Genomic DNA, 26,196 nt, shown 5'->3' on the forward strand with positions numbered 1-26,196 from the left:
GCATAAAAGTTCTCTTCCCTTCAGCACTTTAAATATTTCATTCCACTCTCTCTTGGCCTGTAAGGTTTCCACTGAAAAGGCTGCCACTAGATGTGTTGGAGCTCCATTATTTGTTTCTTTTCTCTTGCTGCTTTTTGGAACCTTTTTTTATCCTTGACCTTTGCAAGTTGAATTACCAGATGCCTTGAGTTAGTCTTCTTTGCATGAAATCTGCTTGGTGTTCTGTAACCTTCTTGTACTTGGATACTGATATCTTTCTCTAGGTTTAGGAAGCTCTCTGTTATTATCCCTTTGAATAAAGTTTCTATGCATATCTCTTTCTCTACATACTCTTTAAAGCCAATAACTCTTAGATTTGCCCTTTTGAGGCTATTTTCTAGATCCTGTAGGCATGCTTCATGGTTTTTTATTCTTTTTGCTTTTGTCTCCTCTGACTGTATTTTCAAATAGCCTGTTTTCAAGCTTGCTGATTCTTTTTTCTGCTTGATCAACTCTGCTATTGAACGAGTCTGATGATTTCTTCAGCATGCCAGCTGCATTTTTCAACTCCAGAATTTCTGCATGATCCTTTTTAATTATTTTAATCTCTTTGTCAAATTCATCTGATAGAATCCTGAATTTCTTCTCTGTGTTATCTTGAATTTCTTTGGGTTTCCTCAAACAGCTATTTTGAGTTCTCTGTCTGAAAGGTCACATATCCCTGTTTCTCCAGGCTTGGTTTCTGGTGCCTTATTTAGTTTATTCATTGAAGTCATGTTTTCCTGGATTGTCTGGATACTTGTAGGTGTTCATTTGTGTCTGGCCATTGAAGAGTTAGGTATTTATTGTAGTCTTTGCAGTCTGGGCTCTTTATACCCATTCTTCCTGGGAAGGCTTTCCAGATATTCAAAAGGACTTGGGTGTTATGATCTAAGCTATATCTGCTTTAGAGAGGACCCCCAAGACCAGTAACACTATGATTCTTGCAGACTCATAGAGGTACTGCCTTGATAGTCTTGGACAAGATCCAGAAGAATTATCTGGATTACCGGAGACTCTGGTTCTCTTCCTTTACTTTGTCCCAGTCTCTCTCTGTGCTGAGCCACCTGGAGCTAGAGGTGGAATGACACAAGCACCCCTGTAGCCATCACCCCTAGAACTGTGCTGGGTCAGACCTGAAACCAGCAGAGCACTGGGTCTTGCCCAAGCCCTGCTGTAACCACTCTTTGGCTACCAGCTATGTTCATTCAAGGCCCTGAAGATCTGCAATTAGCTGGTGACAGAGCCAGCCAGGCCTATGTTCTTCCCTTGAGGGTGATGAGTTTCTCCAAGCCCAAGCTCCAGGAGGGTCCAGAGGTGCCATTCAGGAGCCAGAAACTAGAGTCAAAAATCTTAGAAGTCTACCTGGTGTTCTATTGTACTGTGGCTAAGCTGGCACTCAAACCACAAGACGCAGCGCTTCCCATGCTTCCCTCCCCTTTCCAAATGCAGCGAGCCTCACCTCATGGCCACGGCCACCTCAGGCCCACAGGGAGTACTGCCAGACTACCACCATGTTCCCTTTAGGCTCAAGGGCTCTTCAGTCAGCTTGTGTTGAATGCTGCCTGGCCTGGGACTCACCCTTTAGAGCAGTGAGGTCCCTTCTGGCCTAAGGCAAGTCCAGAAATGCCATCTAAAAACCAAGTCCTGAAATCAGGTACCGTGAGAGCCTACTTGGTTTTCTACCCAGCTGTAGGGCCTACCTTATATAAACTTTTTATCCAGGATAGCTTTCTTTTTTGTCTTTGGGACAGTATTGTAACTAAGCAAAAAGATAAGCGGATTTAATTTTTCTTATTAGTCATTTAAGATTTTTATTTGCCTTTTATAAGGAGTCTTTAATTTAAAATACTGAAATACTTTAGAAGCTTCTGCATATCAGTAGGCATCCATAGATGAGAGTAATTTGGAAAGCTTCATTTTCTTTTCTTTTTTTTTAATTTCAACTTTTATTTTAAATACAGGGTACATGTACAGATTTGTTACATAGGAATATTGTATGATGCTGAAGTTTGGAGTACAGGTTCCCTCACCCTGGTAGTAAGCATAATATAGTACTCAATAGGTAGTTTTTCAACCCACCCACTCCCAAGCTCGAGTAGTCCACAGTGTCTATCGTTCTAATATTTATGTCCATGTGTTCTCAATGCTTAGCTCCCAATTAGAAGGAAGAACATGCAGTTTTGAATTTTCTGTTTCTGCATTAATTTGCTGAGGATTATGGCCTCCAGCTCCATCCATGTTGCTGCAAAGGCCATGATTTCATTTTTTTATAACTGTGTACTATTCCGTGGTGTGTATATACAGCATTTTCTTTATTCAATCCACCACTGATGGGCAGCTAGGTTGATCCCATGTCTTTGCTAGTGTGAATAGTGCAACAATGAACAGAAAAGTGCATGTGTCTTTTTGGTAGAATGATTTATTTTCTTCTGGGTGTAAACCTAGTAATGGTATGGCTGAGATGAATGGTAGCCCTGTTTTAGGTTCTTTGAGAAATCTCCAGATTGCTTTCCACAGTGGCTAAACTAATTTAAATTCCCACTAACAATGTATAAGTGTCCACTTTTCTCCACATCTTCACCAGCATCTGTTGTTTTTTGGATTTTTAGTAACAGCCATTCTGACTGGTGTGAGATTTTATCTCACTGTCAGTTTGATTTGCATTTCTCTGATGATTAGTGATGCTGAGCATTTTTTCATGTTTGTTGGTGACTTGTATGACGTCTTTTGAGAAGTATGTGTTCATGTCCTTTGCCCATTTTTTAATGAAGTTATTTGGTGTTTTGCCTGTTGATTTGTTCAAGCTCCCTATAGATTCTGGATACTAGGCCATTGTTGGATGCATAGTTTGCAGATATCGTCTCTCATTCTGCAGGTTGTCTGTTTGCTTTGTTCATAGTTTCTTTTGTTGTGCAGAAGCTTTTTAGTTTAATTAGATCCTTTTTGTCTTGTTGTTGTTGTTGTTGCAATGGCTTTTCATACTTAGCTAAAAATTTTTTACCAAGGCTGACTTTGAGATAAGTATTTCCTAGGTTGTCTTCCAGGATCTTTACAGTTTGAGGACCTTCATTGAAATCTTTAATTCATTTTGAGTTAATTTTTGTATATGGTGAAAGGTAGGGGTCTGGTTTCATTCTTCTGCATACGGCTAACTAGTTATCTCAGCAACATTTATTGAATGGGAAGTGCTTTCCCCATGGCTTGTTTTTCTCAGCCTTGTTGAAGATCAGATTGTGGTAGGTGTGCATCTTTATTTCTGAGTTTTCTATTCTCTTCCATTTGTCTTTGTCTGTTTCTGTACCAGTACTAAGTTGTTTTGGTTACTGTAGCCTTATAGTAGTAGTGTAGTAGTAGGAGTAGTAGTGTAGCCTTATATAGTGTAGCCTTGAAGTTGGGTAATGTGATACCTCTGGCTTCATTCTTTTGCTTAGGATAGCTTTGGCTATTGGGGCTCTTTTTCAGTTCCATATTTATTTTAGAATCATTTGTTCTGTGAAAAATGGCTTTGGTAGTTTGATAGGAATAGTGTTGAATCTTTAACTTGCTTTGGACAGTATGGCCATTTTTACGAAACTGATTCTTCCAATTCATCGGCATGGAATGTTTCCCCATTTATGTCATCTCTGATCTCCTTCTGCAATGTTTTGTAGTTCTCTTTGTAGAGATCTTTCACCTCCTTGGCTACCTGTATTCCTAGATATTTCATTTTCTTTTGGCTATTGTAAATGGGATTATGTTCTTGATTTCACTCTCAGCCTGGACTTTGTTGGCATATAGAAAATGCTACTGATTTTTATACAATGATTTTGTAACCTGAAACTTTACTAAAGGTGTTTATCTATTCTAGGAGACTATTGGCAAAGTCTTTAGGATTTTCTAGGTATAGAATTATGTTATCAGCAAACAGGGAGAGTTTGACTTCCTTTCCTATTTGGATGCCTTTTATTTCTTTCTCTTGCCTGATTGTTCCAGCTATGACTTCCAGTACTGTGTTGAACATGAGTGGTAAGAGTGTGCATCTTGGTTCTGTTCCAGTTCTCAAAGGGAATGCTTCAAGCTATTGTCCACTTAGTATGATGTTGGCTGTGGGTTTGTCATAGATGGCTCTTATTATTTTGAAGTATGTTCCTTCATTGCCTAGTCTGTTGAGGGTTTTTAACATGAAGGGATGTTGGATTTCATCAAAAGCTTTTTCTGCATCTATTGAGAAGATAATTTCATTTTTGCTTTTGATTCTGCTTATGTAGTGAATCACATTTATTCATTTGCATATGTTGAACCAGCCTTGCATTCCAGGAATAAAGCTTACTTGATCATGTTTTACTAACTTTTCAATATGCTGCTGGATTTGATTTTCTAGTATTTTGTTGAGGATTTTCAGGTCTATATTCATGAGAGATATTGGTCTAAAGTTTCCTTTATTAATTGTGTCTCTGCCAGATTTGGGTACCAGGCTGATGCTGGCTTCATAGAATATATTAGAAAGGAACCCCTCCTCTTTGATTTTTTGAATAATTTCAGTAGGATTGGTATCAGTTCTTTGTATGTCTGGTAGAATTCAGCTGTGAATCCATCTGAGCCAGGGCTTTTTTTGGTTAGTAGGTTCTTAATTACTGATTCAATTTCAGAAGTCGATAGTGGTCTATTCAGGTTTTCAATCTCTTCCTGATTCAGTCTTGGAAGATTGTGTCCTTCCAGGAATTTACCTACTTCCTCTAGATTTTCTAATTTGTGTGCATAGGGTTGTGAGCCCTCATTTTCAACTGCACTTCTTCAAGTGCAGTGTTGTTTCTTTGGAATGTTCCATTGTAATTTTAAATTACCTTTAGTAAGATTTTGCTATTTCTAAAAGTGTTTGCTGTTTCCAGAACCTAATACTTACACATGTAAGTGTGGGCATAATCAGAAGATACATTACTCAGTTCTTAAGAAAATAAGGATCCCATTTTTATCTTGAATCTTAGCTTTAATTCTCAGATCCTCTTAATCAACTTAGCCAATAATTTTTTCCTACCTCAGCACACAAGAAAAACAAAGGAGGTAGAACACAAAAATCCCTATAAATTTCCAAAACCAAAGTTTGCATCCCCTGAAATATTGCCATTTTCTACTGGTTTCTGTCTGAACCATTCAGACATAAGAGGCCTGTAACTAGATCCAAGCCAGTTAATTATCAGATTCTGGACCCAATTCAGTTTTTTTGTGACTTCCAAACCTAGTTTCGATCAGAAATTTGCTCAAACAAACTCAGAAAGCTCAAAACACAAATATGTGGAGCTTTGAATTCTGAGAGAGAACTTACCATCATCCCCAGTTGCTGTGAAAGAGCAATGGACACAATGGGCCCTGCAGGTACCTCGCTTGGTCACTTGATGCTCCTGGGGGTCACTGAAAGCTCTAATTCGGATCCCACTTCTGACACCATCTGTTTAAAAAAAAAAAAAAGCCTTAGACAAATTAAACTTCACAGAGTTTAACTGAGCAAAGAATGATCTGTGAATCTGGCATCTGGCAGCCTCCTTAGCCAGAGTAAGCTCAGAGAGACTCCAGTGCAGCCACGTGGTGGAAGATTTACGGTCACAAAAAGGAAAGTGACATACAGAAAATGGAAGTGAGGTACACAAACAGCCAGATTGGTTACAGCTCAACATTTGCCTTATTTGAACATGTTTTGAACAGTTGGCTGCCTCTGACTGGCCAAAACTTGGTGACTGGCACAAGAGTAGGTTACTGTCTATTTAAACTTCCATTGAGGTTACTGTTCACTATGTACAGAGAAATCTTTATGCCAAACTTAAAGTATGTAAGGAAGCAACTTTAGGATAAACTTGATTTAACAATATTACATGTGAATATGTGTATATACACATGTGTCTTTGTGAATATAAATATAAATCTATCTATATATATTCTCTAAGATATTGGCACTTCTAATAAAGTGGTTATTAAATAATATTTAAAGATAAAAACAATGAATTTGATTAGTTTAGAAAGCAGAGAAAGTTAACAGAGCAATTCTAACACAAATATAGTTGCTTATCATTTTCAGTGTGAAATTAGAGTCAACAAACCCATGATTTTCTTAGTATTCACTCACTCTATATCTGTGTACAAGTAATTGGCTTATTATATTAAAGTTGCTTTTTACTTCATTTTATGTTAACTCTAAAAAACTGTTAATTGTGGAGTTTTTAAATGTTGTTCAATTTCTTTTCATTTTAATAATAATATTGTTAATGTTATCATTGCTTCTATTTTCTATGTGCCTAACATTTCTCTAGAGTTGAGCAGGCCTTATCTTCCACTTTATAGTGACAGTAAATTCATTTGTGAATGGGGAAGATTTTCATTTATGCAGATGGGCTTGAGATAGACAAATAGATACTCAAAGAGAACAACAGAGAAATACACAAGAATATACACAATATTTATACTAATTTATCATCTATTTACAGAATGATAGACATTGCCATTGAGTTCATATGCTAGATACATTGAGTTTATCTATTTATATATCATTTAAAAAACAGAATGGAAATCTTCCTATATACAGTAAACCTTTCCCTGCCCTCTAAATCAGGATATTCCACCCATAATTTGCTTATCTCATTGTGCTCTAATACATTGACACTCACAGAATATAGGACAGTTGTATCTACATTAGATGGTTCCAGTTAGTGATGCTAATGTTCTTGTTCAGCTTTTCATAGGTGTTTATTTCTTCAACTTTAGAGACAGAGTTCAAGATATTAGTCATTTCTTGCTGCTATTCTCTGCCAGATAAGTCAATGTAGTACAATGTGAGAGTCTAGGCTTTGCATCCAGATAGACCTGAGATTAAATCCTGATCAACTCTTTACTAGTTATATGGCTTGTCTGACTGTAAAGTGGAGATGATAATATCCACCTCCATAAGGTTCTTCTTATAGGTGATGACAGTACAAATATACAGTACTGGCCACCTATCGGGCTTTCTTTTTTTTTTTTTTTTTTGAGACGGAGTCTCGCTCTGTCACCCAGGCTGGAGTGCAGTGCCGCGATCTCGGCTCACTGCAAGCTCCGCCTCCCAGGTTCACACCCTTCTCCTGCCTCAGCCTCCCGAGTAGCTGGGATTACAGAAGCCCGCCACCACGCCCAGCTAATTTTTTGTATTTTTAGTAGAGACAGGGTTTCACCGTGTTAGCCAGGATGGTCTCGATCTCCTGACCTCGTGATCCGCCCACCTCGGCCTCCCAAAGTTGGGCTTTCAATAGATATGTGTCTCTTGCCACTACCCTCTACAACACCCACAACACCCAACACCCACCCACATTCATCCCCTTTTCATGCTTTCCTTCCTGTCATCTGTGAACTGGGCAACTACATAACGAAGAAGATTTGAATTATATCTAAACCAAAATCCAGTTATTATAATAGAAGTATTTATTTATTCTGAGTGTACACTATTAATTAGCAAAACAAAGAACATAAGCCTAAAGGCTAACCTATTTGGACCTTTAGGTGGGTAATATTTGAGATGGTCCTTGAAAGTTGATAGGATTTAGACTGAAAGACATATGTAGAGAAGCATTCTGTACAGAGGAAACTGTTTCAGGCCTAAAGCACAGCATAGAACAAGGAATGATTCAATTTATCTGGAATATAGGGTGTATGTGGTAGAAGATAAAACTCAAGAATGAATATAGGCCTGTTTTGTCAAGGATTCTGAGCACCAGGTTAAGAAGTTTAATTTGATGGAAAATAGGAGTTACTGATATTTCCTAAGCAAAGGACTTTTGTTTTAGGAGGATTTCTCTGTGTTAGCATTTGGGATATATTAGTGCTGGGAGAAACAAAAGTGAGGAGGTCATTTAGAAAGTTATTAGAGTGGTTCAAGCAAAAAGTAACAAAGACTAACTCTCACACATTACTAGTGGTAATGTAAGTCAGTACAATCTCTATGACAGGCAACTTGGCAATCTCTACCAACATTACAAACGCACATACCATTTTCCTTAGCCATTCCACTTCTAAGAATTTATCCTCAGATATATTTTCGAATGAGTGAAGTGATGCATATACCAAGTTATTCATAATAGCATAAAACCTTAATAAGAACTTGAATAACTTACAGCACATTCACAGTAACAGAATTACAGCATATATATATATAATAAGAATGGGGAAGTCCCTTATGTACTGATTAAAACAATCTCTAAGATGTATTAAATTTTTAAAAATTAATATATTAAATTGTGTACCATTTGCTTCCATCTGTGTTTTAAAAATAAAAGAAAATTCTGGAAGAATACACACACACACACACACACACACACACACACACACACACACACAAATTATATCTGTGGCTTCTTGTTGAATCCAAAATAAATATTAAAAGAAATAAGGCCTAAAGTCAAAGTGGTACCTATAATATTGGAGAGATAACTTATTAGAAGTTGATAGTGGGGGAAAATTTATAAAGAAAGAATATGGACTTAGAAGAACAGAAATTTGTAGAAAGCCTAGTATTGAATAGTATTATGCCATGTTATGGCATGAAGCAGATGAGTGTAGATTTGCGTGCTTTAAGCAGAAAGAAAATTTAAGAAATCATGTTTGCAGAATATAATTGTCATCCCAATTTTGCCAAACAGGCACCAAAATGCTTGGAGATTTATTGTTTCACCCAAAGTCACACAAGTGATGACACAGTAAAAACAAAAAACTTCTTTCAAAGTTTTATCTAAAGCTCCAATGGCATAGATATTTAGACAAGTATAGACAATTGCCTTCACAGCTGGAAGTGCCCTCTTCCTCCCTCACCAGTTACCCATGTACCTTCCCTAACAAGGTGAATTTTCTTATTCAGCAGGAAATATTCCCTAGACATTAGTGTTTAATGAAACCATTTATTAAAATCCGTGTAATTCTTTCAAAATTCTAACATATCCGAGGCTTGCCTGATTCTGATAATAATATTCAAGCAAAGATTTTTAGAAAATTTTCTTTAAGTCAGTATGAAATTTTGACATTTAGTCAAGATTGAATCTATGGTTCAGATTTCATAACCTCATTAAGTCTCCTTGTGCCTCTTATGTGCAGTTCTGGGTACTTACTATTATGTGGAAGGGTTAACATTTTTAGAAAGGAAACATTTATAAACCCTAGTTCTTTTTAACAAGCTGATTTAGCTAGTTCCTAAGATAATTTACTTTCAGAAAGTATAACCCTTTACTACATAACAGTATTAACTTATAGATTGATTTATCTATCAATAAGTTATTTAAGGGAGTTATAATTTAAAGCAATAACAAAAAATAATACACCAAATGTGAATCTACCACTGCAAAATTTTTAATAGATACATGGTTTAGTTACAGTCTTTTATGAACTTCTCACCTTTTATCCCCAGAGTTAGAAACTTCTATCAGGGTATTATTCTCACTGCAGCTGAAACAGCCCTCCAGATGCCAGCAGCTTTGGCAGTAGGTGTCCTCTAGTGCTGACTCATAAAGGTTTGAAATTTTTTATATTTCTGGTCTTTCCCCCATCTCTGCAGAGATGCCTTTCTAGGTATTTTGCTTTTAATTAAGTCTTTATACAGTACCTTAGCTGACTCTTGTATCTGGGTCAGTCTTCTCATCCCTGCAAAGCCCTGGGAAAACTACTTCACTGAGGTTATCTTTGTGACAAACTTTACTTCTTAAAATTTCTTATTTCAATCAAAACAGATGTGGCTTGCATAGGCCCAGTCAAGCCCTAGTATATTCTCTCTAATAAAGGAACAGTTCATGGGTGACTTTGTTAATACTTAGCAAGTGTTCATTCTTTAGCATTGTTCTTTTTGTCCTTTGAGTCTTTACTCTCTACTTAAAGAACTGGGTTTCTGAACCAAATTAGTACTCTCAAAATTTGTCAACACTTCACAAACCCCTTCATTAGAGGGGCTGTCTTAAAATAAATAAATTTTTTAAAACTGTAAATGTTTGAATATTTAGAAACTTAACAACAATTAATCACTAGCTTTTTCAAACCCAGCATTTTTAAATCACAAAATAAATATATTTGTTTGGTATTTTGATAACCCTCTCCCCCCAGAGTGAATTCAGCCTTATGAGCAAATATAGTTAATTGAAACCTCTTAGTAGTGAAGCTGATCTTTGTGATTACCTAAATTTAATTCATTCACATATGAGCCAAAATCAAATTTTCATGTAGGTCAATTTTCTGGAAAGTTTTTGAAGTTAAACACATTTAGAGATGTTTAATTTAATGCTCTTCCTATATCTATTATATTGTGGAGGGAGTGATTTAAAACAAAGAAGCAAAATGCTTCCTGCTGGAAAATAAAGATGTTTTCATTGCAAAATTAATATAACCTTTGTGCTATGCTGCTGCTTAAAAAAGGATGTCTATTAATTAATCATTTTTAAATCTATCATAAGAAGTAACTGTATTCATTATTCTGTCACTTTCTAACACTAAAGGAAGAAGAACAGCTGTTGTCTGGCCTCTAACTAACTGCAATGGGGTCTTTCAGAATAATACAGAAAGAACATTAGAACAGCATGAGCAAGATACACAATTCAAAATTAATCGAAAATTGGTGATCTGAGAACTGGAGATGTTCTCATGACATGTAAATATTTGTTCAGCAGCTAAAGTAATAGCAATGCATTAAACCAATAGAATTACTTTTGACACCTAACAGAAATGTTAATTGATCATCAATCTTTAGCTCGTAATAAAAGGGCTGAACTTGCAGTTCTGAAAGTATAGCCAGAAAAATTATGTGAGAGACATAAATGTTATAAAAAAGACAAACTGCTCCAAGCTAAATTGCTTTAAATTACATTGACCTCATCACTGTACCTTTGAAACCTGTCTCTAATTGAGAGCAATTGATTTACCCTTCCAACTTTCCTTTAAAGCCTATCAGATCCCAAATTCTAAATGTTAAGAACCCTTTGCCAAAGTATTCTGCAATTGAGCTTTCCTTTGAGATTCTTAAGTGATGACTAAGGCACGAGCCAGGTAGAAAAACAGTACTCAGTGAATTTAAACCTTAGAAATTAAGGTGACATCTTTTGTCTCCCCCTGGAGAAGGTGATAAAGTGAAAGAAATTTTTAGCATAAGACCATTGTAATTACACAAAAACATGAAAGATAATAGACACCAAAATGAGCTGTGAGAGGGACAAACATGCCAAAATTTCTAACACCTACCCACACCCAGAATAAAAATGTCAAGTTCCTGGAAATTAAGGAGGATTTGTGGGGAGGATTTTTGGAAAGAGTTGTGCTGTGTGTTGAGCATGATCCCACCACCCTCTATCCACGGGAGAACAGAGGGGTCATTGCCTGCTCTGCTGCTCAGCTGAGCTCTGGCTTGAGGGTCACTGAGACCATCAGAGAGCTTAAGAGGTGTTTCCTGCAGGAGGGGGACACAGTAGGTTGTTGTCTGCCTTACAACTAATAAATCCAAAGTATGAGAGAGAGATTGGCTAAAGTGGTATCAGAAGAAGAAATAACCACATATAAGAATTATGTGCCCTTTTTTCCAAAGACAGATCAAAGGCTCCCAAATCCCAGGGCCCAAATGTGCAACTCTTAAAAGGAATATTAGCCTAGGATCCTTTTAAAAGGGACCCTGCTGGGCCGGGCACGGTGTTTCACACCTGTAATCTCAGCACTTTGGGAGGCCAAGGCAGGTGGATCACGAGGTCAAGAGATTGAGACCATCCTGGCCAACATGGTGAAACCCCGTCTCTACTAAAAATACAAAAATTAGCTGGGTGTGGTGGCACGCTCCTGTAGTCCCAGCTACTCAGAAGGCTGAGGTAGGAGAATCACTTGAACCCGGGAGGCAGAGGTTGCAGTGAGCCTAGATTGCACCACTGCACTCCAGCCTGGTGACAAAGTGAGACTCCATCTCAAAAAAAAAAAAAAAAAAAGCGGGGGGACCCTGCTCAAGAGGGTTCCTGATAAAAGACTAGGGGAGTCACTGGCTACCAAAGGAAGTTGTACTGATGGGGCCCAGAAGTGATGACTCCAAAGATCTCAGATGATTTTAAACATATGCATATGACAGTATCAGTTGAGTAATAATTCCCTGCATCCTTTTCACTCCTTCATCTCCATGTCCCAGATACTAAGGGATCAGAAACCTCAGTAAGCAAGTAGAGTAAAATCACCCACTGGAGAACAGAGCATTGATCAGACTTTCTTCCCAGCCTCTCTTGCAAATTCTCTCCTGCACCAGGTCTCAGGAGGATGAGAGGAGCAGATTTAATATTGCAACAAGTTTGGAATTTTTATTGTTCTTTGAACCAAAAGATTTAAACTACTAAATCAAGACTTAAAGCTACATGGCAACTTTCTGTCACCTAAGAGATTAGGGAGGCCATTCTGCAAGGGAAAACTACCCATACTGAACAAATTTTAAAGGGACAGTGGGAAAAAGAAGTAAGATTGCTTTAGTAATAATATCCCATGAATCCTAATTATTTAACATATGAGCTACATAATTATTTTTAAGATTATTTCATTCATTTTATATTCAGATTTTTATACCATGAATATACATAGAAATATAAAATTTCTAAGAATGAAATAAAAAGATTTTTAAATGTCTTGCTAATCACAGTAGCCTCACATTATGATTAACAGATGTAAATCCATATTTCAAATACTCTTCTTCAAACTTTTGAAATTTGGGAGCCTACTATTGTTAAATGTGATTATATCATCACTGTTTTCATCGCATTAGGGGCTGACAAGGGTTCAGACTAGAAGGAGCACAGGGGTTGGCTCTGGCACTTTCCTTTCCTTCACTTGTGCTTTCATTATTATTAACAGCATTCACTATGAACCATGGTTTCTTATAATCTTTTTAAGGCGCTTGGACTTTTTGTGATGGTTAGCCTAATTAAAGCTAGAAAGTACAGTCCGTAAATCTGTGTAACTAGGCTCTCATAAACTGCCATGTACTATAATACACTGCAAGTAAAGTGAACGATGTGCCTGTGTCAAGGAGTCCCCTTGAGGAACTCCTTCTCTTCCCTCAGGCTTGCCCACATCCCAGAAGAGGGCTTAGTGAGAAACTTCAGAAGGCAACGACTCAAAGCCCCTCACTTTTATGGACCCCTTCCACAGCTTGTTTGGGACCACTGTTTCTTTCCATTCCACTTTCCCTTGTATCAAACATCCCCTTAGGACAGGTAGGGTTGGAATAGCAGCGGGCATCTTTTTGGATCTAATTAGAAGAGGGATACAGTTAGTTGGGTTCACAATGCAAATAAAGCATTTGGAATTTGTATGATGACCTGATGAAAAAACATGCCACAATGTGCATTTTATTAATTGTTTTTTATAAATAAAGCAGATAGAGGCAGCTACAGTCTGGATTAAAAGTAGAGAAAGGCCAGGCCTCATGCCTGTAATCCCATCACTTAGTGGGGGCAAGGTGGGCAGAGAGCTTGAGCAGCCCAGAAGTTTGAGACCAGCCTGAGCAACATGGCGAAACCCCATTTCTACAAAAAAATACAATAATTAGCCAGGCATGGCTGTATGCACCTGTGGTCCCAGCTACTGGTGAGGCTAAGATGGATTGGTAAATTGAGCCCAGGAGGCTGAGGCTGCAGTGAGCTGTGATGGAGACGTTGCACTCCAGCCTGGGTGGCAAAGCAAGGCCTTGTTTTTCATTCATTCTTTTATAAATAAATAAGAAATTATTATATCCAATATAATGTTTGATAATATCATACAACATAGCATCAAGAGTATGCTATGACCATTTGCAGCAGAACAATCCTACACCTTTAAAGTCTACCTGATTTGGACATTTTTTAAAAAAGGATGAAGGGTTTTCTGAATGGCTGACTTATTTTTTCTATACATGAGGAAAGAACCAAATGAGCTCCAAAGTATAAGTATACTCACATGCCTTCCTCAGAATAGATCAAATAATTATAACAGGTTAGCCTTGGGTGCAAGAATTTCAAGACAAGTCAAAATATCATATTTTACCCAATCTCAGGTAACATGTATTTCTTGGGTACTTAACTATGTTGTCAGACACTATATTGAACTTTTAGCATGTATTATCTCATTGAATCCTCACATGTAATTCATCTGGAGCTGTTAAAGCTAACATTTGCTCCCCTATAGTCTGATGAAAGACTATTTTTCTACCTTCCTTATTAGTCTCTTCACATTTGGTTTCTTTTTCATCTGCAGTTCATTATTGATTGCAAGCTAAATCGTCAAAGCTAACACAATTTCCAAATAATGCTTCCCAGCCAGCAAGAATCATGCAAAATGAAAAGCAGTGATTTGACATGAAGAGGACAATTTTTCTCACAGCTCGAACATAAATTGTCACCATTCATGAACTCCAGTAGACTGCTCTTCCTTTATGATTTGTTCTTATTCATGCCCCAGGTGAACAGGAATAAAGCCCAGGGCACTGAGCCAGTGTGCTGAACCCAAGACAGGTGGCACAATAAGATACTAGCCTTTAAAATATGCATTCGGTTGGAACCTGCAATTTCATCCACTTCTAAAAATTTTTCCCAGGAATATAGTCAGATACCAACTAAGATGTATCAATGATGATGACCAATCCAGTGTTGTTTACAACAATAAAAATTATGAGCAAACTAAAGGACCAAGAGTAGAAAACTGACTAAGGACATTGTGATAATTAATAAGATAAATTACTATTTAGCCATTAAATATATATATATATACACATTTTAAAGTATTTTTAACAATGTATAAAATGCTAAAGATATATTGCTAAGCAGCAAACACTATGCATCAAGTTATACCATACATTAACATACACATACAAAATTTTATATAAAAATAATTTATACATAATTTATAATATATACTTTTTTATATAAATCCTATATATAAGATTTTTAAATATGAAAACAATTCAGAATTTTTTTCTTTTTTGACATTTTCTGTTTTTTACCTTGACTGTATAATTTTTAAAAGCAAAAAGATCACTTATGATATAGACTTCAATTCAACAAATACTTTTCAGTAGCCTATTATGTAATTAAATTAAGTTTAACAAACATTTCTTTAATGAACCATACACATGACTGTAGATATAATAAAGAGTACAACCTGATCCCTGCTCTTGATGAGCTCACAGTTTAGCAAGAGGAACGTATAACAAGTCAAAACAACTAATCCTAATAGTTGTTATGAAAGAGCAGTGGAGATACAAAGAGGAAGTAGTCACCTCAAACTGGAAAAGCAATGGTAGGTAAAGAGACAGGAAGGTATTCCAGGTAGAATAAAAAACATCTACCAATGTATGCTGTCATGCACACTGGAATGGAAAGTAAAAGCAAGTAAGTGGGAAAATATGAAGATGAAGAAGAAGGTAGGGGCATTATCATGATGGACTCTTGAAGCATTAAGGTACAGACTCTACAGCTGCACCAGCCACATGTGAATTGAATTCTTGAAATGTGGCTAATCCTAATTGAGATGTACTGTAAATATAAAACACCACACCAGATTTTGAAGACTTCATATTTAAAAATGAGAAATAACTCATTAATAATTTTTATGTTGATTACATGCTGAAATGACATTTTTGTGTACATTGGGTTAAATTAAGTATATTATTTAAATTGATTTTATTCAATTATTATTATTTTTCATAATGTGGCTACTAAACATATATTTTAAATTATACACATGACTCACAGTATGTATCTACTGGACAGCATTGTTCTAGAGGATAGATTAGAGGAACACAGTTCTGGAAGGAGGAAGACCAGTTAGAAAGCTTTTAAAGAACCCAGGTAAGATTCAATGAAAGATTAAACCAGGCAAGTGCAAATAGGGATAGAGAGGATCCGTTGGAGTTATAAAAGAGAGTGCATTGACAAAACAAGTCCAGTTCAATAAGAAATGAGGATCTGGTAAGTGTCTGGAATGCCCTCAGTTTTTTGGCTTGATAACCATAGGAACAGTAGTAACCTTAGGGAAAATAAGGAATACAAAAGGAAGACCAGATCTGTCTGTAAAGATTCATTCATTCAAATATTATTTATTGAGCATCTACCATGTGCTAGTTATTATTTAGCTGGTTAGGTGCTAGGAAACTAGCAGTGATGAAGCAGATGAGGTCCCTGCTCTCCTGGAGCTTACTTACACTCTATTACAAGCACATAAAGAGCTCAATTTAGCCATGTTTAAAGTGAGATGGCTATGGCACATTCAGATAAAAATGTCAACTAGACATTTAAGTATAAAATTTAGGAGAAAGATAGGAATGGTAGTTTGAGATCTGGGGATCATTGTGGTGATTCCACCTAGAGACAGCATGTAAAAAACAAAACCCTGAAAAACACTAGCTATCTAAAGGTAATGTGGAGAAGGAAGAATCAGTGAAAAATATAGATAGAGGAGAACTAGGAGAAAACAGTGTCAAAAAAGCCAAGGAAGAATAAAATTTTAAGTGTGGTCAACCATGTTCAATGGAGTAGATTGGTTAACCCAATGACTACCAAGTATCCATATGTAGCTACGAGGCTATTGCTTACCTTTTGGAAGGCATTTTTCATGGGATGGTGGGGACAAAACCCAAGTCACAAATGGCTGAAACATGAATGGAGGTGAGGAGTAAAGTCAGCACCTGAGTACTGTTCCTTTGAAGAACTTGGCTGGGTAGGACAGTGGCTAGAAAAGATAAAATCTCAAGAGAGAGCCTAAGATGAGAGAGATTGAAATATGTTTTCGGGTATGAGGGAAGGACCAGTGGAGAGGACTGAAAATAGAGGAAAACAGAGGAATATGTGATAGACTAAGATCACATGGGAGTTGAAAGTAGATGCGATGAAAAGCACTGGGGGATATATTAGTCTTGACAACAAAATGGAACACCTTTGCTTGACACTCCAGGTGTCAGGAGGAATTTTTAAAAGACAAATGTGTAGAAAGAAGGACTTGAAAGAGTTCCTGCCTGATGACCAGCACTCCCTGTTAATTAGGGGATGATTAGGGAAAGTAGGGAGAGTGGAAACTGAACAGAAGGCCTCCAGAGAGGGATGAAAGTTTAAAATAGCTGCTGAAGGGAACAGAAGAGCAAGGTGACAATGAATAAATAAGAAGAATATCCAGTAGTACTAAGGATTCCATTGAGATTGGGGACCATATGCTTATGCGCTATGAATAGCTCCTATTGTGTGTTTGTTCTCTAACTGTGCTGAAGAGTCCATATGTGGAAGTGAACTAATTAAATGGAAGAACTGGCCCAAAGTCTCATATTTGCAGAGCATTGAAAGCAGAAAGATGATTTGGGAATCTGAGGGTAATCGTAGCAGAGAAGTTCAAACCATTGCAGATAGAATCTTGCCTGGTAGAAGAAGTGATCAGAAGCACATTGATTGATGCAGGAAAAAAATAAGAGGGTTAAGAGGTTGGAAGGCTGTCCTGATAAGGCTGGTGAGCTGCTAGAAAGAAATTGTAAATAAGAAATGATGTTTCTCCAAAATAACAATAATATATCAACAATAATAAATAGCTCTTCATTATTAAGCAATTACTATGTGGCAGGCAGTGTATTAAAATTTTTTTAACTTTACATTTAATTGTAATGACAACCCTGTGAGGTAATTACTATTATTATATCCTTTTTGTTTTCTTTTAAACAAGTAAATTAAAGTACTGAGAGTTTAAATAACTTGCTAAGACTGTAGAGCCAGTAGGTGGTGGAGCCCTCTTTCTTAATCACTGTACAGGCCAAAGGCAAAGACATAAAGATATAGTTTATTTAAAAAGGAGTAAGGTTTCACGGAAAACAGAGGGAAATGGACAGTAAGAAAATAAGTGGAGACTAGAGAAGCAGAGTTCAGAAAGAAGAGTACACAGTGAATGGAGATAAAGTTAGAGGAGACAAGAATAAATCATTGAGGAGGCCCACAATTTTAATGGTGCTAAAAGATTACCAGAATGAGTGGCATTGAAAAAATAACTGACCCTAGAATTTTTCAGCTTTACAAATAAGATTACTGGAGCCAGCTCAAAGCACATACAATATATTACAGACAGTTCAGAGAATAAAGTTGAAAGGCCCATGCCAGCCCCCAAGGAACTTACAATCTAGAGATGAATAAAACAAGTATGTTTAAAAAGCACAAAACAAGCCAGGATAAGAAAATGTCAGAAAGACAAAACTAGGGGCTCTAGGGCTTGCATTTTTAAAAACATTGCATTTGCCTTGAGAGATATGAAACAGTGGACATGACACTCTTGAATACATAAAATTGAGCTAAGTAGCAAAGTGAGGCAGCGTATTTACAGAGAGAAGAAACCGTATAAACGAAGCCGTGGAGAGGCAAGTCCAAGGAATATTGTAGATCAACAACCAAGACAAGTTGGCTGGTTTGCCCTGAGCACAGAAGGGGTACAGAAGGGAAGACTGGAAAGATAAACTGGGACCATGTAGTGCCTTAGGTTGACACACTGAACTTTATTCAACTCAAAAGCTAATGAGGCACTTATGAGAGGGCCCGAGCCAGGGAATTATAGTATAGGAAGTTCAGGCCCAGAGCATCATTAGAATATCCTTTCTGCTCAGAATTTTATACTTATTTTTCAGAATGAGACGTGCTCATGTGATGGAGTACAATCTTGAGAGTGATGGAACTCATACATTTTCCACGATGATAAAAATGAAACTTCTGGAGTTTGTTCATTGCCCTATATAAAAATAAACTGGTTTCCTTACTTTTTCTGTAAAGAGTGTTTCTGGTCTGGGGATCTAAGTCAAGGAGAAAGAAGAACATGAAGTAAATTACAGTACACTCTTCCTTTGCCACATAGCCCTTAAAACGTCATGAAATAAAGCAAAAGTGAATGTGAAAGGCAGCCTTTTAAATAGAGAACTCATAAGTTAACATGCATCTGAGAGGTACATGGAGAAATGAAAAATTTTGCTTTGGTAAAAAACAAGATTGACAAATAGACACAATAAAAAATGATAAAGGAGATATCACCACTGACCCCACAGAAATAAAAACTATCATCAGAGAATACTATAAACACCTCTACACAAATAAACTAGAAAATCTACAAGAAATGGATAAATTCCTGGACACATATACCCTCCCAAGACTAAACCAGGAAGAAGACGAATCCCTGAATAAACCAATAACAAGTTCTGAAATTGAGGCAGTAATTAATAGCCTACCAACCAAAAAAAAGCCCAAGACCAGATACACAGCCGAATTCTACCAGAGGTAAAAAGAGGAGCTGGTATCTTTCCTTCTGAAACTATTCCAAACAATTGAAAAGAAGGGACTCCTCCCTAACTCATTTTATAAGATCAGCATCATCCCGATACCAAAACTTGGCAGAGACAAAACAAAAAAAGAAAACTTCAAGCCAATATCCCTGATGAACATCGACATGAAAATCCTCAGTAAAATACTGACAAACCAGATCCAGCAGCACATCAAAAAGCTTATCCACCACAATCAAGTTGGCTTCATCCCTGGGATTCAAGGCTGGTTCAACATATGAAAATCAATAAATGTAATCCATCACATAAACAGAACCAATGACAAAAACCACATGATTATCTCAATAGATGCAGAAAAGGCCTTCAATAAAATTCAACATCCCTTTATGTTAAAAACTCCCAATAAATGAGGTATTTATGGACTATACCTCAAAATAATGAGAGCTATTTATGACAAACCCACAGCCAATATCATACTGAATGGGCAAAAGCTAGAAGCATTTCCTTGAAAACTGGCTCAAGACAAGGATGGCCTCTTTCACCACTGCTATTCAACATAGTATTGGAAGTTCGGCCCAAGGCAATCAGCCAATAGAAAGAAATAAAGGGTATTCAGATAGGAAGAGAGGAAGTCAAATTGTCTCTGTTTGTAGATGGCATGATTCTATACTTAGAAAACCCCATCGTCTCAGCTCCAAACTCGTTAAGCTGATAAGTAACTTCAGCAAAGTCTCAGGATACAAAATCAATGTGCAAAAAAATCAGAAGCAATCCTATACATCAACAATAGACAAGCAGAGAGCCAAATCATGAATGAACTCCCATTCACAATTGCTACAAAGAGAATAAAATACCTAGGAATACAACTTACAACAAAGGACCCTCTTCAAGGAGTACTACAAACCACTACTCAAGGAAATCAGAGGGGACACCAGCAAATGGAAAAACATTCCATCCTCATGGATAGGAAGAATCAATATCATTAAAATGGCCATACTGCCCAAAGTAATTTATAGATTCAATGCTATTCCCTTCAAACTACTATTGACATTCTTCACAGAATTAGAAAAAGAAATGAATTAAAATTTCATATGGAACCAAAAAAGAGCCCATATAGCCAAGACAATCCTAAGCAAAAAGAACAATGCTGGAGGCATCACGCTACCTGACTGCAAACTACATTACAAGGCCACAGTAACAAAACAGCACGGTACTAGTACCAAAACAGACATATAGACCAATGGAACAGAACAGCGACCTCAGAAATAACACCATACATCTACAACCATCTGATTATCAACACAACTGACAAAAACAAACAATGGGGAAAGGATTCTCTATTTAATAAATGGTGCTGGAAAAACTGGCTAGCCATATGCAGAAAACAGAAACTGGACTCCTTCCTTATACCTTATACAAAACTAAAGATCGATTAAAGACTTAAGTGTAAAATCCAAAACCATAAAAACCCTAGAAGAAAACCTAGGCAATACCACTCAGGACACAGGCATGAGCAAAGACTTCATGACTAAAACACCAAAAGCAATGGCAACAAAAGCCAAAATTGACAAATGGGATTATAATTAAACTAAAGAGCTTCTGCACAGCAAAAGAAACTATCATCAGAGTGAACAGGCAACCTACAGAATGCAAGAAAATTTTTGCAGTAAATCCACTACAAGGAATTTAAACAAATCTACAAGGAAAAAACAAACATCATCATCAAAAAATTGGCAAAGGATATGAACAGACACTTCTCAAAAGAAAACTTTTATGTGGCCAACGAACATACAAAAAAAAGCTCAACATCACTGATCATTAGAGAAATGCAAATCAAAACCATAATGAGATACCATCTCACACTGGTGAGGTTGTGGAGAAATAGGAACACTTTTACACTGTTGGTAGGAATGTAAATTAGTTCAACCATTGTGGAAGACAGTGTGGCAATTCCTCAAAGATCTAGAACCAGAAATACCAATGGGATTGCTGGGTATATACCCACAGGAGTATAAATCATTCTACTATAAAGACAAATGAACACGTATGTTTACTGCAGCACTATTTAAAATAGCAGACACGTGGAACCAACCCAAATGCCCAACAATGATAGACTAGATAAAGAAAATGTGGTACATATAAACCATGGGATACTATACAGCCATAAAAAGGAATGAGATCATGTCCTTGGCAAGGACATGAAGCTGGAAGCCATCATCTTCAGCAAACTAACACAGGAAGAGAAAACCAAACACCGCATGTTCTCACTCATAAGAGGTAGTTGAACAATGAGAACACATGGACACAGGGAGGGGAACAACACACTGAGGCCAGTTAGGGGATGGGGGGCTAGGGGAGGGAAAGCATTAGGGCAAATAGCTAATGTATATGGGGCTTAAAACCTAGATGATGGGTTGATAGGCAGCAAACCACCATGGCAAACGTATACCTAGGTAACAAACCTACACGTTCTGCACTTGTATCCCGGAACTTAAAGTAAAATTAAAAAAATAAAATAAACAGGATTGAAGGGAATTAGGAGCCAAATTCACATGTCTGTATGAACCAGTTCTCTTTTTAGCAATCTTCTGAACATCACCACACATCTGTCAGCAGTACAGAAGCCCTCAAAAGTCATGGCCAAGGGCACTTACCAAGCTGTTTTTTGTACTAAGGACAACTCTAAGTGTAGGACATTGAAATATATTTATGAACTTAATAAAACATGCTTGCTTTTAAAATGTGTTTAAAAAGGACTACTACAAAGCAACCAATGGGTTTGATAACCTGAGTTAGATCTTTCCTATATGAATAAAATATATATTTCTATGGAAAATAAAAGTTCCTCTGGGAGAACTGGGTCTAGCCAGGCTTTCTCAAACTGTATTCCAATGATCCCTGCATCAAGACCACTAGGGATTATTAAAATGCAGGTACCAGGGCCTCCTCCAGACCTAAAAATCAGAATCTCTGAGTATAAAGACTGGTGATCAGAATGTTTTAAAACTTCCCAGTTGATTTGTATATATCATAAACCTTTTGAACCTATGGTCACCCAGAAGCATACTAAAGCAAAACAAAACTGGTTGGCTGAGAGAAAGAGTTTGCTGTAACCTCTCTTCTACCTTCTGAATTCTGACTCTTTTCATGAACAAAACTTAAAAGAATGAGCAGCATATTTATATTTGCACCCTGAGAATGAAGCAGAGCATCTGGCAAATAGCAGAATAATCAGAAAAATATTTGTGGATTTAAACTGAGCAGCGTGGTCATGAAAGGCATAGTTTATAATAAATAACATACTTTTTTTCACATCCACATTTCCTCTCCTCTTCCCAGCCTTCTCTAAAGAAAGAGAATACTTACTGCATTGTCAACAGCGTTTGCACCAGGACCTGTATTTTGCTTTTTATTCTTGGTAATGAGCCATGCATCCCCCATACCTAGAGCTTAGTGGATTCACAGGGTTGATGCTAGAAAGTATAGATAAAGCTTCCCACACTTTTCTCTTAGTTACACTTTGACAAACAGTATCTGTTTCCTCTCTCATAAAGACTAATGTATGTGGTATTTGACATTTACCTTTTCCCTTTTTACAGAAAAAAATTCACAGATAACCATCTGGCTATACACATCTATATCTCACAGACTAGAAAGAATTGTTTCAGTTGTTAATCATATAAACATTATGCCTTTGGCAGTTTCAAATGATGTGAGTTTTAAGCAGCTAAACAGTCCTTTTGGTGACAACTAATTACTCATAGTGTGTTTATAGCAAAAATTGTTTTATAAATGCAATTGTCACTTCTATTGACACTTTCCATCTCATTGGAATCTACAAGTATAATAAAAATAATTTATTTTGATCAATTTTCCATCTAAAAAAAAAAAAACAAAAATAAAACCTCAGTCCTGAAGCACTCTTAAAATTGTAAAAGTATCATCTTTAGGAAAAGACTAATATCTGCTTCTCCTGAACTAGCAGCCTTTTCAAGCCTTTTCTTTGTTTCTTTCTATGCTGTACAGAAATTGTTGTCAGGTGAGGAATTGCCAAGAAGTGAAATGACATTATAAATGTCATAGGTCAGTACACAGGTAAGGAAGAAAGACTGTCTAGAAAGCAAGCTAACTTTTTAACCAAAACATTCTTGTTATATATCTGTTTTTGTCAATTATGTTCCTTAATGTGCATACCTTCCTAAGAAAAAAGTAACAAAGAAAGAGAGGTTACATGTTCAGCAAAAGATATGCAATATTCCATGTCTATAGAAAATATTGTGATTCATGAAAAAAAAAAGTTCAAAAAGAAATTGAAATGTATTATGCCTGACAAATTATACTCCCTTATGGCCTTCAGGGGCACAAAACAAATCTCAGGCTTGAGTACAGAGTCTAAAAGGGTCATAAGGTGACATGCGTTACAAAAACATTAAACCGTCCTTTAGCTTATGGTGCACCTTGCATTATATTAAAGTGGGAATATAAAAATAGAATTGAACATTTGGGAAAAGTTCCACGCTTGGAGGCTAAGTAGGTTTTCTTTTACAGGACTAAGTTCAACACCTTATAAGTATCACCTTAATTCTTCCAAATCAGGTTCAGTTTCATGAAAAGCAATGTTCTTTACTAGCTCATAACTCATTTTGGGTTCCATCTGTCTTTATCAGAAAGAGTAGCATTTTTTTACTTTCCATAGTCATGCAGGTAGAGAGTAGCTCTCTGCTTTAATTGTCAGAATAAAATGTTTTCTGAGGTTAAAAAGTGAATTCAAAGGGATTTCGAATGTATTAGTATCATGAGGTTATATAGTATCTCTATTTCCCATTTTCTGTCCCATGCAGATATTATTCAAGTGAAATATGACACATATAGACTTACTGACAAATCTTTCATAAAAATAAAGCAAGAAATTTGAACTTACTAACCAGGTTAAAAATACACATTTTTAAAATTGTATTTAAAAAAATTTTTAGGAGAAAGGTGACCAGAAGTATCATTTTTCTACCTTATTAAGCTACACTGAAAAATGTGGCATGTAAAACAAATGAGTAAAGACCACCTCCAACGACATTAGAAAAAAACTTCCAAATTTAAGAATGATTTTCATAAGTTTCTCAATCACCTAATGTTCTGATAAATTTTACAGGAGAAAAAGAGGAAATTTAAGTCACAGAATTGAAGTTGCTATTAAAAAATAACCAGAAGATTTAAGTTTTAAAGTCTCATTTTTTAAGAAAGACCCAAAATGGTAAAAGGCTTAGTTCCCAATTCCATGACTGCATTGGTCTGCTGGTACAGACAGCTATTTTAAATCACTCACAAAATAATTTATTTGTAAAAGTTCAAAGATTTAATATATGTTCAGGCAGAGTGAATAGAAATGCAAATATTCTTGATCACAATGAAGCTTTTTATGTAAAAGCCTGCAGGATTTGTTCCATAGGATATTACTACTTCCTCTTATTCATAGTTGTTAAGTAATTACATTTTTCTTATTTATTGTGTTAAATATTAACATAACTTTTTCTCTCATCTCTGTCACATTACCTCAATGAATTTTCTTGAATATTTCTTTCAGCCTCTTAATGAATGACCTATTAAATTCATTATTATGATTATAGTAAACCATTGTTACTATTCATTCACATGACATTATATATTTTAGGAAAGTACTATTATCACATGAATTATTTTATGATCTTTTTTATAGCAGCATAAACGTCACAATGGCTTTCTTTGCCATTAAAAATCTCATGCAGAAGAATTCATTTGTCAACACTAACCAGCAAAAATTATCTGCATTCACTTAAAGCTACAAATACCCATTCTACGTCTACATCCCAGACCAATGCAGTCTAACCTGCAGAGTTCAAATTTATTTTATTATAAAAAGTTTCCTGCACTTTCTGTGATTGTCTTTCAATGCATGGATTCAATCTAGGTCAGGTGCTTCCATAGGAAGAGTCAATTTTATCTAGCCAAGCATTAAAGATTTTTCTTAAAGGAGATGTTTTATATTGGGAATAATGGAACTAAGGAATGTGAAAAAGGGCTTGAGAAATATACAGGTTGTTATTCAGCATCAGTCTTATTGCACCAACATGGGTATACAGCAGCTATTGATGTTGAATGTATTTTTTTGTTATGAAATATAAGAAAATTTCAGGGAAAAAATGCTCAAGTCTTGCTGATAACACATCCTCCAGTATGTATTAATATAATGAGGGTTTGAGGGACATGTCCCAAATCCAAAAACACGCCATCAACTGAAACCCTGTGCAGACTACTTAAGGAAAAAAACTAGCATGGCTGTGATTATACTGCCCTCTAGTGTCAAAATAAATGTTATTTACACTGAAGTTCATTTGCTTTTTTCAGATCAGCATTTTCATGACCCATTTGTCCAACTATGGGAATGACCGACTGGGATTATATACATTTGTTAATCTGGCCAACTTTGTGAAGAGCTGGACCAACCTGCGACTTCAGACTCTGCCTCCAGTACAACTGGCCCACAAGTATTTTGAGCTGTTTCCTGATCAGAAAGACCCTCTCTGGCAGGTAAAATTAATTAAATAATTGATATAACCAGTTAATTCCAGGAACATAATTCTGTGAGATATCCCAAATTTGAAAAGTGAAGGCACCTGAAAAAACCTGCATTTTGGAAATGTTAGTAAATTTGAGAAACTACTCCTTCCTAAACTGTAGTTGTATATCATTGCTACATATTGCACCCAATTCCCTGTTCCCTTGCACATTGGAAATTATGGGATTCGGAAAGTTCAGTGACAGATTCAATGAATATAACGTCTTCAATCAGGAGTGAGAGATAAATCTACAGGTTGCAATAGGCTGGAAGAGTAGAAGATGGTAAACAGGTCGTTTGTTAGACAGGTAGCCTTTGAACACATCCCCAT

At 36.4% G+C, this 26,196-nt stretch overlaps 1 protein-coding gene and 1 long non-coding RNA gene across 12 annotated transcripts in view; one reads left to right on the forward strand and one right to left on the reverse strand.

The window, feature by feature from the left end:
• Positions 1–5,590, reverse strand: part of LOC107986307 (uncharacterized) — a 149,690-nt gene extending 144,100 nt beyond the window's left edge. Inside the window, exon 1 of the long non-coding RNA XR_007058241.1 lies at positions 5,324–5,590. This is a non-coding gene — a long non-coding RNA (uncharacterized LOC107986307). The remainder of the gene's footprint in view (positions 1–5,323) is intronic.
• Positions 1–26,196, forward strand: part of NDST3 (N-deacetylase and N-sulfotransferase 3) — a 225,313-nt gene that overhangs the window by 165,515 nt on the left and 33,602 nt on the right. For 10 of the 11 annotated variants that reach the window (NR_146513.2, NR_146514.2, XM_006714416.4 and 7 more), the window contains one exon: positions 25,655–25,837. Coding sequence is in view for 9 of the 11 variants with exons in the window: in XM_006714416.4 (XP_006714479.1) it covers positions 25,655–25,837 (183 nt within the window). In the remaining 2 variants the exon portion in view is untranslated. Of the gene's footprint in view, positions 1–14,241; positions 14,724–25,654; positions 25,838–26,196 lie in introns of those variants that run through there. The other variant, XM_011532415.4, reaches the window with a different exon arrangement.

Source organism: Homo sapiens, chromosome 4 (assembly GCF_000001405.40).
Source record: "Homo sapiens chromosome 4, GRCh38.p14 Primary Assembly".
In the NCBI taxonomy this organism is placed as follows: domain Eukaryota; kingdom Metazoa; phylum Chordata; class Mammalia; order Primates; family Hominidae; genus Homo; species Homo sapiens.